The sequence below is a fragment of the Homo sapiens genome, chromosome 12 (assembly GCF_000001405.40).
Source record: "Homo sapiens chromosome 12, GRCh38.p14 Primary Assembly".
NCBI lineage: Eukaryota > Metazoa > Chordata > Mammalia > Primates > Hominidae > Homo > Homo sapiens.
In genome coordinates, this window is record NC_000012.12 from 109,694,935 (window position 1) to 109,709,344 (window position 14,410).

The 14,410-nt window shown below is 50.3% G+C and overlaps 1 annotated feature.

Annotated features, from left to right (window-relative positions):
* Window positions 898-1,707: an enhancer, noted in NCBI's record as "H3K4me1 hESC enhancer chr12:110133637-110134446 (GRCh37/hg19 assembly coordinates)". NCBI's record gives its function as "activates a minimal SCP1, AML or CMV promoter by ChIP-STARR-seq in primed H9 embryonic stem cells {active_cell/tissue: H9 hESC(primed)}" and the evidence as "EXISTENCE:reporter gene assay evidence [ECO:0000049][PMID:30033119]".

Consider the following 14,410-nt stretch of genomic DNA (forward strand, 5'->3'; position numbering starts at 1 on the left):
GCATTTTAGGAGGCCAAGGTGGGCGGATCACTTGAGGTCAAGAGTTTGAGACGAGCCTGGCCAACATTGTGAAACCCTGTCTCTACCAAAAATACAAAAATTAGCCAGGTGTGGTGGCTCACGCCTATAATCCCAGCACTTTGGGAGGCCGAGGTGGGCGGATCACAAGGTCAGGAGGTCAAGACCATCCTGGCTAACACGGTGAAACCCCGTCTCCACTAAAAATACAAAAAATTAGCCAGGTGTGGTGGCGGGCACCTGTAGTCCCAGCTACTCGGGAGGCTGAGGCAGGAGAATGGCGTGAACCCAGGAGGTGGAGCCTGCAGTGAGCCAAGATTACGCCACTGCACTCCAGCCTGGGCAACAGAGCGAGACTCCATCTCAAAAAATAAATAAAATAAAATAAAATAAATACAAAAATTAGCCAGGCATGGTGGCTCACTCTTGTAATGACAGCTACTTGGGAGGCTGAGGCGGGAGGATCACTTGAACCCGGGAGGTGGAGGTGCAGTGAGCCGAGATCGCACCACTGCACTTCAGCCTGGGCAACAGAGTGAGACTGTCTCAAAAAAAAAAAAAAAAAAAGGAGGAGGAGATGGACAAGGTCATCCTGTCGCCCCCTCTGGTCTCGCACCACTGGGGCATTGCAGGGAGCAGGAAACACCACTGCTTCTCTGGACTACTTGGGTCCATCTCTCCGCTGCCCCCACTGCACCGCCATGAGCTAGCCCAAACCCCTCCAGCTGTGACCTGTCTGACTACAGGAGGCGGAACGAAGGAGTCCCTCCCTACCTGCAGGGTGGAACGTTGGACCCCAGGGTTGGGAAGACGGAAGGAAGTAGACAGCCTCAGGAGACCCAGCTACCTGCCTCGCTAAGAGCTGTTCCTCCTACCTTCCTATTTATATTTCTTGTCGCTTTCCCTACCAATAAAATGGTAATAATCCATTTTTAGCACCCCCAAAGTCCCTACTGCTGGGCTCAGGGACACGAGATGCAGCCTCTGGCTGTCCATAAACACGAGAGACAGATGTTGTCAACATCTGGAGACAAGGGAGGCCCTGTTTGTGCCTGGGTCTGGGAAGTGTGCCCATCTGGGAGGAGTGTTCCAAGGGTAGGAGGCCCCCATCTGTCACTCACCTGGACTGAGGACACTTCCACCCCAGAGGAAGGCCCCTAGGCCCTGGCCAGGGCTTCCAGGCTTGGAGCCCCTTTGGAGGGGAAGCTGGGCAGGCGCCGACTGCCAGGAGGGGACTTCAAAGGCTCCCCTAATCCCTGTGACATTTTCAGACACAGGAGTTGGCTTTTTTCATGCTGAGGATCAAAGCCCAGAGCTTTATAAATAACCCTCATAAAAGCCAAGGAGCTTGTAAAGTCAAACAGTAAGTCACAAAGAGTGTGAGCCTTTCGGAGTAGGAGAGAGGCTGGGGAAGTCCAGCCCCTATCCTCGCTCCACCCCACCAGATGGCCACTCACCAGCACTCCCGGATGAGCCGAGAGATAGAAGGCCCAGTGGGAGGTCAGGAGGAAGGTCTGGGGGTGGCCTGGGTTGGACTTGGAGGTTCCTCTGCCACCCCTAATAGACATCCTAGATCTGGCCATTCATTCATTAAATCATTCTTTTGCTCATTCATTCTTTCAGTCAATCAGTCAATCAACAAACATTTCCTGATCCCATCCGTGGAAAAGACCTCTGGCCAAGGAACATGCACTTTGGGGTCACTAGGGTTCAAATCATAGTACTGCCTCTCCCAACGGGGTGATCTCCAGCAAATTACTTAATCTCTCTGAGCCTCAGTTTCCTCACCTTTAAAATGGGGATACATTTTGAACCTGTCCTAAGAGAGTTCTTGAGGAACTTCAGTGGGCATGGCAGGTGGGAAACACTCAAAACGTGGGTTATTATTACCATTAATCAGACAGCAATAGTAGTCATCAAAGGTGGTCTCTACAAGGTTGTTTTTGTTGTTGTTGTTGTTTTGCCTGGCTCTCAGTCTCCCCTAAATAACTTCCCCTTCTGCAGGGCCTAACTGGGAGGTGGGTTTTGGTTTGTGTTTTCTGTGAGTCACAGAGGCCATGAGTCATCACCCAAGAAGAGGCTGTTTCAGAGCCAGGGGGTCATAGATTCTAGTCCCATGCCCAGCACTTTCCAGCTGTGCGCCCTTGGGGGCCCCTGTCCTCCCTCTCTAAGCCTCAATTTCCTCATCTGTAAAATGAGGGCAGTGGGGAGGATCCAGTGAGGGTAGGAATATCCAGTGCCTGGCGCATAGTAGGTGCTCAGTAAGTGGCTGCGGATGCTTTTTTAGCCCTTCTCCCAGTGAGAATTTCCAAGAGAGAGGTCAGCATCAGTGTGGAAGAGATTAGAAGATGATGGGGGTCCCTGAAGCTCAGCATGTTGGAAGCTGCGGCCTGGGACCTCCCTTGGATGAGGAGGCCAGGAAGTAGGACAGACTGTACCAGTGTGTTGCCCTCACCTCATCAAAGGACCTTTTCTTTTTTTATTTTTCCTTTTTTTGTTTTTTCTTTCATGAGATGGAGTCTCACTCTGTCTCTCAGGTTAGAGTGCAGTGGCATGATCTCGTCTCACTGCAATCTCCACCTCCCAGGTTGAAGCAATTCTCCTGCCTCAACCTTCAAAGTAGCTGGGAATACAAGCACACACCACCACACCTGGCTAATTTTTGTATTTTTTTTTTTTAGTAGAGATGGGGTTTTGTTATGTTAGCCAGGCTGGTGTCGAACTCCTGACCTCAAGTGATGCACCTGCCTCGCCCTCAGAAAGTGCTGGGATTACAGGCATGAGCCACTGTGCCCGACCAAAAGAGCCTTTTCTAATTGCAGAGAGTAGCTTCAGGATATCAGTAAGTTCATTTCATAGATGAGAAAAACTATAGTCCAAGGTGGTGAAGGCATCTAGACTGGAATTCAAACCCAGGCCTGGCTGATTCCAGATTAGCCTTTTCTGCAGCTCCTGTACAGGCGCTAAAGGTGGGCAGCCCAGAGCCAGCTTCTCCCTGGCTTCTCCTAGGCAGCATCTAGCTGACCAGGTTATTCCAGAGAAGGCAAATTAGTGTCCAGGGCTGGCCTCACATCCAGGCATCTCCTGTTACAGGGGATTCAAATTTAGCTGCATCCACCCCAGCTGCCAGCATCCTGGTTCTCTGCAAAGAAGGTCGAGGGCCAGGAAGCCAGGCAGGCGTGCCAGCGAGTGCCATTCATTGGTTCAGCTACTCACTCATTCAGTGCGCGGTCAGTCACTGAACAAATGCTTATTAGCGCCTTCCACGTGCCAGGCCCATACAGGACGCCAGGGCTACAGTGCAAACCAGATTAAGTGTGGTGCCTTATCTAACCTCCCCCGACCCTGGAGCTCACAGCATGTGAGTAGATGATAGGGGTATTGTGATGAAGTTGAGGGTGGGGCGTGTAAAGATGTTGCTTGGCCCCTCATGGAGGAGCATCAGTGAGAACTTCCCAGTGGAGGTGACAAGTGAGCTGGGACCAAACTCAGTAGAAGGTAACCTGGGAAAGGAGACCAGGAAAGGCATTCAGGCCAAGGGAACAGCCTGGGCCAAGGTGGGAAGGCACACAGTATAGACATAGAAGAGCCCCTTCCCCCAAACACGGCTTTGTCCTGTTTCAAGCATCCTCTGGCCAGGTGCGGTGGCTCATGCTGTAATCCCAGCGCTTTGGGAGGCCGAGGCAGGAAGATGGCTTGAGCCCAGGAATTTGAGACCAGCCTGGGTAACATGGCGAAACCCCATCTCTACAAAAAATACAAAAATTAGCTGGGTGTGGTGGTAGGTGCCTGTAGTCCCAGCTACCTGGGAGGCTGAGGCTGGAGAATCATCTGAGCTCAGCAGGTCAAGGCTGCAGTAAGCTGGGATCACACTGTTGCACTCCAGCATGGGCGACAGAGGAGACTCTGTAAGAAAATAAAAATTAAAAAAAAATCCAACTCTGAGTGACTGGTGTGTCTGGTATTCTGTGATCCTCATATCCACCTTGTCGTCCACCCCCATGCCCAGGTAGATATTATTATTCCCTTTATGGCACCTGAGTCAAGGGAGGCTCAGAGAGGTTGATAATTCGCTCAAGGCCACACAGGATCCAGACCAGCCTGATAGATGCAGCTGTCAGTAGCTGTTTTCTGTTTTGTTTTGTGATGGAGTCCTGCTCTGTCGCCCAGGCTGGAGTGCAGTGGCGTAATCTTGGCTCACTGCAATCTCCGCCTCCCAGGTTCAAGCGATTTTCCTGTCTCAGCCTCCTGAGTGTAGCTGGGACTACAGGTGCCCACCACCACGCCCAGCTAATTTTTATATTTTTAGCAGAGATGGGGTTTCACCATGTTGGCCAGGCTGGCGTCAAACTCCTGACTTCAGGTGATCCTCCAACCTTGGCCTCCGAAAGTGCTGGGATTACAGGCGTGAGCCACCGTGCCCAGCCCCCAGCTAAATTTTTTTTTTAAAATGTTTGTAGAGATGGGGTTTTGCCAGATTGTCCATGCTGGTCTCAAACTCCTGGGCTCAAACAATCTTCCTGCCTTGATTTCCCAAAGTTCTGGGATTACAGGTGTGAGCCACCTCACCTGGCCCAGGAGCTGTTTATCTGGGGCTCTCTCAGAGCCTCCGGGGCTTACAGTCTGCACCTGGGCAAGTCATCTCTCCTCGTTAAGCCTTAGTTTTCTCATCTGCAAAATGAGACCCACGTGGCTGACTCCCCTGGACAGCCCCCACCCCACACCTGTTATAGCCACTTCTCCCACTGACCTCATCAGGGCAGGTGGCCTGGAAGCAGTGGTTCCTGGGGGAGGCGCAGCCACAAACCCTGTCCCAACCAGGGCAGGGACAATGGGATCTCCCTGATGGCTTCTGGCCTAATTGCCAGCAAACCCCAGGGAGCTGTGGCTGCTTCATGCTACCTCCTTAGGATCATTTCATGACTCGGGAGGCATATTGGGAGCTCCTCTGAGCCAGCCCTGGGACCTAGCTCCTCTGTGGCCAAAGGATGGGCTTCTAACACCAGACTGGGCACCTCTACCTGCTGATCCACACTGGGTGCCTCTCATAGCTGCTCTCTCCCAATTCCCAAGGTACCTTGTGAGGTCAGTACCTATGTGCCCCTTTCCAGACAAGACATCCCAGAGACGGGGAGGACTGCCTCAGTTCCGCCTTCTGGGAGATAAGAATGATGAGGCCTGCCTCATGGGCAATACTGGCCCTTCCTGAGCCTCAGTTTCCTCATCTGTAAAATGGTGTGAATCTGACTTGCCAGGTTAGTGTAAGAATTTACCACCAAATAATAACAATAGCGCACAATTATTATTATTATTGAGATGGAGTCTTGCTCTGTTGCCCAGACTGGAGTGCAATGGAGCAATCTCAGCTCACTGCAGCCTCCGCCTCCCAGATTCAAGCAATTCTCCTGCCTCAGCCTCCTGAGTAGCTGGGACTACAGGCACGTGTCACCATGCCCGGCTTATTTTTGTATTTTTAGTAGAGATGGGGTTTCCCCATGTTGGCCAGGCTGGTCTCGAACTCCTGACCTCAGGTGATCCACCTGTCTCGGCCTCCCAAAGTTCTGGGATTACAGGCATCAGCCACCAGGCCAAGCCAATAGTGCAAAATTATTGAGCACTTACTACGTGCCAGCTGCTTTTCAGGGGTTCTGCGTGCATTAACTCCTTTAGTTCTCACAGCAATCTTAGGAGATAGGGTTTGCTATTATCCTCATGTTACACCTGAGCAAACAGAGGCACCAAGAGGCTGAGAAGAAACTCCCCCAAACACACATAAAGGGCTTAGCACAGAATAGGCCTCCATAAAGGTTAAGGCTTATTTCTCCTTCATTCCCTCCAATATCAAGCGAAGCCCTTTCCCACCATCCATACCCTCCCAGTTTTCCTCTGCCTTCTCCGGACAGCCACAGAGGGTGTCATTCATGGGATCACCTGGGGACCAGAGTTGCAAAGCTTTTACCTTAAGTTAGACCCAAAAGGAACTTCCAGCCCCATGGGGACCGTGAACAGATGAACATGCCCCCCAAATGAGAGATGCTGAGATATAAACCAATCCTGGGACAGAAATCGGAACAGGAGTCCTTCCTAAGTCCCTTCCACTCTTAGATTCTAAAAGCAGGACTGCAATGTGGTCTGTGTGGTGCCATCTCTCTTGCATGTTTCTCCCTGGGGCTGGGAAATGCCAAGCTATTGTCTGGCACTGGGGGAGGGGGAGTTTCTCTGTGACAAGGTCCTGGGATTGGTGAGTACACCTCCTTCCACACCCCATGCACGCCAGCCCCCCAGAGCAGCTGGGCAGCATTTCTGCTGTCTGTGGGCTCATTTATCATTCAGAGGGGGGCATTGCTGCCGTGAGGTCCCCAGGGACGGCTCTGCCGTGGCCCCATCTGATTGAAATCCAGGCCCAGAACACACTCAGCCAGGAAAGTGGCTGCCTGGAACCCGAAATAAATAACACCATGGGCAGGAGGCACAAATCTGCTGCTAATTACGGCATATCCTGATTAAATGGGGTGCGTAAATAAATATTTCAGCTCAGAAGATGAATAGGCTGCAAGAGCTGCTGTGGCCAGCCCTGTTCCAAGCCCCTCTTGCCCTTCTTCTTCCTCATGGTGCCAAAGGACAGGGCCTTGGCTCCACTTGCAGTGTGGCTCAAGATCTGTCACTCCCCTACTCTGGACCTCAGTTTCTTCTTTATCAAACAGTGCCAAAGATCACCATTCAGCCAACTTTGCAGTTCTGGTGTGAGGATATGAACAGAGCATTTGGGGCGATCAGATTTTGACAGAGCCAAGGTGGCAGTGATTATGAATGGTAAAGAATTTGGAATTTGGGCTGGGTGCAGTGGCTCACACCTGTAATCTCAGCACTTTGGGAGGCCAAGGTGGGAGAATAGCTTGAACCCAGGAGTTTCAGATCAGCCTGGGCAACATAGCGAGACCCTGTCTCTGTAAAATAAAATTTAAAAATAAATAAAAGCATGAGAAAGTTGGAGCCCACCAGTCTTGAGTTTGAATGCCAGCTGTGGAACTCTTTCTGTGCTTCAGTTTCCCCTTCTGCAAATTGGTGGGATGTGAAGAGCCAGTGAACCCTGTGGGCTGTGGTAGCTACTCTTGATGGTAACCCAACTCCATACACTTGAGTCCTGGTAGTTATTGTCATTATACATGGAGGTGCCCAGAAGACCCAGCCTCAGGCAAGGCCCGCATTCTCCACTCCGTGCCCATGTGGACGCCCTGCCTGGAGACCGTGCTTGCTCTCCCAGATGCCACCTCCTTATTTCCGTGAGGCAGAGCGATAATAGAATCGGGGGCCCAGGGGAGGGTAGGAGGAGGGAGAATCATCCTGGAAAAGTTTAAATCAATTAACTTCCTTCCAGAAAACAGACTGGGAAATGTAATGGAGAAATAATGACTCTTCTCCGCAGGATTAAGTGACATAGACCAGGGCCCAGCAAGGAACTGCAGAGGCAGGCTCAGGAGTCTTGTCTCTGACTGCCTGTGTGGCCTTGAGCAAGCCTTAGTCCTTCTCTGAGCTTCCTCTGAGCTGCCCTCTTCCTTCTCTGAGTTTCCTCATCTGTACAAGGAGAGGGCTTGGACCAGCATCAGGAATGGCTAATCAATAGCATGGCTTCCCTAACTCTTCCCTTCCTTGCCCACTGCAGGCATTGCTAATCGGTTGCAGCACCATTCTCACTAAGCCCAGATGAAATAGCAAAGCAACCCAAGCCAATACTCCAGGCATTCCCTCCTGATGAGTCAGAGTGGGCACCCAGGCACCAGACCAGTTTAGATGGTCTCCAAGTCCTCATCTAGCACTAGGCCAATATTGGTGTTATTATTATTGCTATTGTAGGTGTTATTATTGCTGTTGCAGACTCAGTGTCCATCATAGCACTAACAACAAACGTTGAAGTTCATTGAGTGTTAGCTGTGGGCCAGGCACTATTCTAAGCACTTTCACATTTTAACTTACTACAGCATCATAACCATTGGACAAGGCAGTTCTTCTTCTTATTATTATTATTATTTTATAGATCCAAGGCCTAGAGAGGGGAAGTGATTGGCCCAAGGTCACACAGCTAATAAGTGAGGCAAGGATTCAAATCCATGCCTCTGAGGCCAGGTGTGGTGGCTCATGCCTGTAATCCTAGCACTTTGGAAGGCCAAGGTGGGCAGATCACTTGAGTTGGGGAGTTGGAGACCAGCCTGGCCAACATGGTGAAACCCCGTCTCTACTAAAAATACAAAAATTAGCTGGATGTGGTGGGGCACACCTATAATCCCAGCTACTCAGGAGGCTAAAGCAGGAGGGTCTATTGAGCCCGGGAGGCAGAGGTCACAGTGAGCTGAGATCACACCACTGCACTCCAGCCTGGATGACAGAGCCAGACCCAGTATTAAGGAAAGAAAAAAAAATCCATGCCTCTGCCTCAACTGAAACAGTCCAGATGGGGTAAAGAGACCCTTCCCTTCTCTTGTAATTGGAAGTCAGGGGAAGAGAGCCATCCTTTCTCCATGCTAAGCTCTGTGCCAAATTCATCACACACATGATCAGTTTGGAACTGTAATTATCCTCATCTTCCAGATGGGGAAACTGAGGCTCAGAGGGTTGATGGGACCTGCCCAAGGTCACGTGGCTGGTTGTTTTCAAGGGTTAGGGGGGTGGCGCTGCTCTTCTTTTCCCATCTGCCCTCTCCCCGCCTGCACTGTGAGCCCCTGAGGGCAGAAGCAGTGCCCGTTTATCCTGGAATCTCCGGCCTGGCACCTGGCACACTGGAGTTGCCGAATGAATGAAGGATGCAGCTAGTATGAGAGGAGTGCCAGGCTTAGGGTACATGCCAACTCTAAGACCATCACCAGCTGTCAGACCCGAGCTGACTCCTCGTCCCTGTCCTTTGCTGACTCACCTGCCCTGCATGCGTGACCTCTCACCTCTGTTCATGGTCCCAGATGACCCAGGGGCTTCTGGTTGGGGTCCAAATCCATCATTGCTGCATGGTCTGTCCCAGCCCTGCCTCCTCCCATCCATCTTCCCACTGCAGCTCCAGAGAAGGGGACGGTGCTGGGATGGAGGGGGAGGGGCATGGTCCCACCCCAGGATACTGTTGGCTCACTGAGTCTTCCCCAGTGTCCTCCCATCACCTCTCAAATAGCCACTCCCCAGGGCCAGGCACAGCGGCTCATGCCTGTAATCCCAGTACTTTGGGAGGCTAAGGCGGGCAGATCACCTGAGGTCAGGAGTTCAAGACCAGCCTGGACAAACTAGTGAAACCCTGTCTCTACTAAAAATACAAAAATTAACTGTGCATGGTGGCAGGCGCCTGTAATCTCAGCTACTCGGGAGGCTGAGGCAGGAGAATTACTTGAACCTGGGAGGTGAAGGTTACAGTGAGCCAAGATCATGCCATTGCACTCCAGCCTGGGCAACAAAGTGAGACTCCCTCTGAAAAAATAAATAAATAAATAAATAAGCCACTCCCCAATCACAGGTCCCTTTGGTCAAATACCATGATACTCAATGTATAAGACAGCCAAAAGCAGAGGGCTCTGGCTGGTAGGTGTGGGTTAGGGGAGTTCAAACTTGTGCCCAACCCTCACTCCTTCGCTCTCATTAGCCCCCAGGGTGGAGTCTTCCCAGAAACTTCCAGAAAGAAACTGTCCCAGGGACCAGGAAGGCTGAGTTTGAGTTTGATGAGCAGCCACTGGCTCACTGTGGCAAATCTCTTCCCCTCTCTGAGCCTCAGTTTCCCCAGTGATGACATGAGAGGATTGAACCAGAAGTTTTCAAATCTTTATTGTTGAAACTGTAAAAACGCTGAACCCCAATTTGAAAAGGGGTTCAGACCCCAATTTGAAACGGGATTTATCCCCCTGTCTTCATGCCACCCCATGCCAGGTCAGAGGGGGCCTAGCCATCTCTCCAGAAGAGTTCAACTTTGTTCAACAAGCACATATTGAGCTCTTGTTGTATACCTGGGCTCTGTGCCAAGCCTTGACCATACAAAGATGAAAAAGACCAGGTCCTTGACTTCAGATTGAAATTGAACATGCCCTAGTTGAAGTTGGCAGTGCAGGGACTGGAGTGCAGATTCCAGAGCTTTATCTTTTCCACCACCTCCGCCCACCCCTTTCACCAACTAGAGGTCCCTGAGGCATCTTCCTAAAACCCTAAGGCTCCTAGAAATGTTTTGAAAGTACCAGATTAGACTTTTTTCAAGCATTTTATTATGAAAAAATTCAAACATACAGCAAAGTTGAAAGACATTTACAATGAACACTTTAATATCCACCACCTGGTGTCTACCATTAATATTTTACTGTAGTTGCTTTATCCAATAAGGGCACCCTCCCAGCCCTGCAAGATTTCATGACTCAGAGAGGGCTATAGTGAGGAGTTTGAGTTCTTTTTGGGAAACCCTATGAATCTGTGATGGCAACACCAGCGGCTGCAACAGACACAGGCATTTAAGCAGTATATATCATGCAGCAGTTTCAAAGCTTATGGCATTGATCAACAGGTGGGCAACTTTCATCCACAAGTGATTCAGGGATCCAAGCTCCATCCATCTTTTAGCCCTGCCCTGCCTAGGAAGAGTCGATCTTCTGCCTCGGGGCACAAGAGAAAGTTGGTGGAAAAGGGGCACAATCACACAATCACTTTTTTTTTTTTTTTTTGGACGCTGGGTCTTGCTCTGTTGATTAGCCTGGAGTGCAGTGGCACAATCTTGGCTCACTGCAGCCTCCACTTCCTGGGCTCAAGCAATCCTCCTGCCTCAGCCTCCAGAGTAGCTGGGACTTCAGGTGCGCACCACCACGCCTGACTAATTTTTGTATTTTTTTGTAGACACAGGGTTTCACCATGTTGCCCAGGCTTGTCTCAAACTCCTGGGCTCAAGTGATCCTCCTGCCTCAGCCTCCCAAACTGCTGGGATAACAGGTGTGAGCCACCGCGCCCGGCCTCACAACCAATTCTTATATCACACTTGCTCACAGTTCATACACAGATGATAGTATGCATGTATGTATCATACATAGATACATAGTTCATTAATACAGAGATGAAAAAGACCAGGTCCCTGACTTTAGAGCCTTCCAATAAGTGAAACAGACGTTTATTTCCTCTTAGCTGTCCCTTTTCTGAGAGAAAGCCCATCAGATTTTCCATTTTGCAAGGGTGGGTGGATCTGACATTGGAACACTGGAGGAAGGATTTGATTCAATAAATCTTTACTGGGCACTTTCCATGTGCCCAGCATATTCATGTGGTTGAACTCATTGAGTTTTTTCCTTCACTGTTGCAAGAGCATTTTCCCCATTTTATATGAGAGAATGTTGAGATTCAAAAAATAAGCATATATATATATATATCTTGGAATGGATGCCAAGGCTCAGAGTGGTGAAGTAACTTGCCTAAGGTCACACAGCTAGTGATGGAGCTGGAATTGAACCCAAATATCACTTCCTAGTTCCTTGCTTTTTTCTGCATCATCAGGGTGTCTGCTGGAATCAGGGTGAAGACATACAGAGGGTAGGTTTCCTGACAAAAGCCATTCCTCAGGCCCAAGCTAGGGTCTCCATATGCATCTCTTCATCTTCTCCTCCCTTACACTCCATGAGGTTGGTGCCGTCATTCTTGCCTTTTCAGAAAATGGGAAGCTGAGGATCAGAGAGGTGAAGCAACTTACCCGAGGTCACACAGCCAGTTTGGTTTCATATTTCAACCTATTTGACCTGGGGCACATCTTGATGTATCACTGGTTTTTATGCTGAACATAAAGGCAGCAGGATTGTTCCTTGTCACAAAGATGGTTTAAAAGGCAATGAGACAACACTGGCTCCACTAACAATGGCGAGAACATATTTTAAGGCCATGGAGTGGCATCTCTGAGCGATAATGGTTTACAGAACAACTCCAGGCAATTTAGTAGATCCCCTAACTCCTGGATCCCAGCCAGAAAGGGGCTCTGTGGCAAGGGCAGCCAGAAAGGGAGCTCTGTGGAGCTCCCTGGGTCTGAGCCCAGGTCTGGGGCTGCGGGAGGGAGCCCAGTGCAGCTGGGCAAGAAGTTGGGACCCAGCCTATCGAAGACGAAGGGCCCAATCAATGCTATCTCCCCGGGCCATGCCTGGCCAGACATTGATTTCTACTGCTGTTGTTAACTCCCTGTTTATGTAACGCCTGAACTTTGCACAACTGAACCGTTTAATGTGCAGAAGAGGGCCTGTTGCCATGAAAACCAGGCTGCTCATGGCAGCTGGGATGCAGCGGTATCCCTGTTTTATTGGCCTGAGCTGAATGTATTTTAACCTTGATAAGTCAATAACTTTTTGTACAAAAGGAAATCTGCCAGGAGGGCTTAGGAGGACCTGGGAGAGCCTGCTGGCCTTTCCAGGTTGGAGAGGAGGCGGGGCTGGCTGGGTTTAATCCCCTGGAAATATCCCTGCCACTCACAGCCTGGGAGAACCATGCCCAGCTGGCCAGAGGACAGAGAGAACCTTGGAGGGGGATGGTGGGGACCACCCATGCCTCCAATCACTATTTCCTGTCTGGTAAGGACTGCAGCTAAGTCAGACACCCACTATGGCAAAGAAACCGACCAGGGTTCAAATATTGGCTCCACACACTCGGGAGCTCTGTGTGACCTTCAGCAAGGCCAGTGACCCCAGCCTCAGAATCAGCATCTCTAACACAAGCCATCAGTTCCTCTTCACGGGCGTGTTGCAAAGTTAACAGATCATGTATGCAAAGCACCTGGGGTAACTCCTGGTCAACAATGGGGCCTTCATAGATTATTGTTGTTGATATATTTTACAATAATAATCATTGATTATATTTGTAGAACACATTAGGCTCCAGGAAATGTTATATCCATTTTCTCATTACACGCCTGGCTAATTTTTATAGTTTTAGTAGAGACAGGGTTTTGCCATGTTGGCCAGGCTGGTCTAGAACTCCTGGCCTCAAGTGATCTGCCTGCTCGGCCTCCCAAAGTGCTGGGATTACAGGCATGAGCCACTGCGCCCATCCATCATTACACTCCTTGATTTAGGCAGGGCTGGGCTAGATAGCCCCACTTTTTAGATAAGGACACTGAGGCCCAGGGAGGTTGGCTCTCTTATCTGAGGGGTCACATGATGAGATGGTGGTGCCGACTGAAGGAACCAAGTCTCTTGACTCCCAGCTTAGTGCTCTTTCAAACTCAAAACCACAAACACAGAAATAGCCTCCATGCTATCAGGAATAGCCCAACATCCAGCCCCAGACTCATGGCAGACATCATTAATCCACGGCAGCACCGCAATCTTTCCCTTCTGAGCCTGGGCGAGACCTCAGAATCCTCCTCAACACAGAGCAGGTGTTTGAGATGAGACTCATGTGGAACCAGATGCCCTGAAAGGGCTCTGGGTTCAAGTTCCACCCCTGGCCCAAACTTGCATGACTTTGGGCAAGTGCCCTCCCCTCTCTGGGCCTCCTGGTCCCCAGTGGTGAAACAAGGGGGACGTTTAATGGTTATTGATTCTGAGGGGGTCTCCCAGGTGGAAGGGACCCCCTACCACCTCCTGGTTCCTATCCCAACTCCCCTGCAACCAATCCCTCTGAACCTTCTTCAACTCCATCCACAAATAATGACCTAGATCCTACTATGTGCCAGTGACTATGCAAGGTGCTGGGGACACAGCGGTGAAGAAATGACAGTCTCTCCCCTCCCAGAGCTAAGTCTAGAGAGGTAAACAGAAAATAAACGTCATCCAGGCCGGGCGCGGTGGCTCATGCCTGTAATCCCAGCACTCTGGGAGGCCGAGGCGGGTGGATCACTTGAGGTCAGGAGTTCAAGACCAGCCTGGCCAACATAGTGAAACCCCGTCTCTACTGGAAAAACAAGAAAATACAAAAATTAGCCAGGTGTGGTGGCACGTGCCTGTAATTCCAGCTACTCGGGAGGCTGAGGCAGGAGAATCGCTTGAACCTGGGAGGCATAAGTTGCAGTGAGCCAAGATCACACCACTGCACTCCAGCCTGTGCAACGAGTCTGTCTCAAAAAAAAAAAAAAAAAATAAGAAGAAAATAAATGTCATCCTGCAAGTGCTCAGAAAGCTGCCAACAGCAGTAAGCACTGACGAGAGGGAAAGCAAAACAAAAGGGAGGTGTTCTGGGGAAAATAACTTCAGATCGGGTAGTCAGGGAGGGCTTCCCCGAGGAGGTGACATTTAAGCTGAGACTGGAAGTATGAGAACAAACCAGAGAGCAAAAGGAAGAATGTTCCAGGCAGAAGGAACGGCTTGGGTCAAGGCCTTGAGGTGGGAAATAGTTTGGCACCTTCAAGTAACCAAGAGGAGACTAAAGTGGCCAGAAGGGAGTGAGGGTGGGATATAGTCAGGGAGATGGGCAGGGT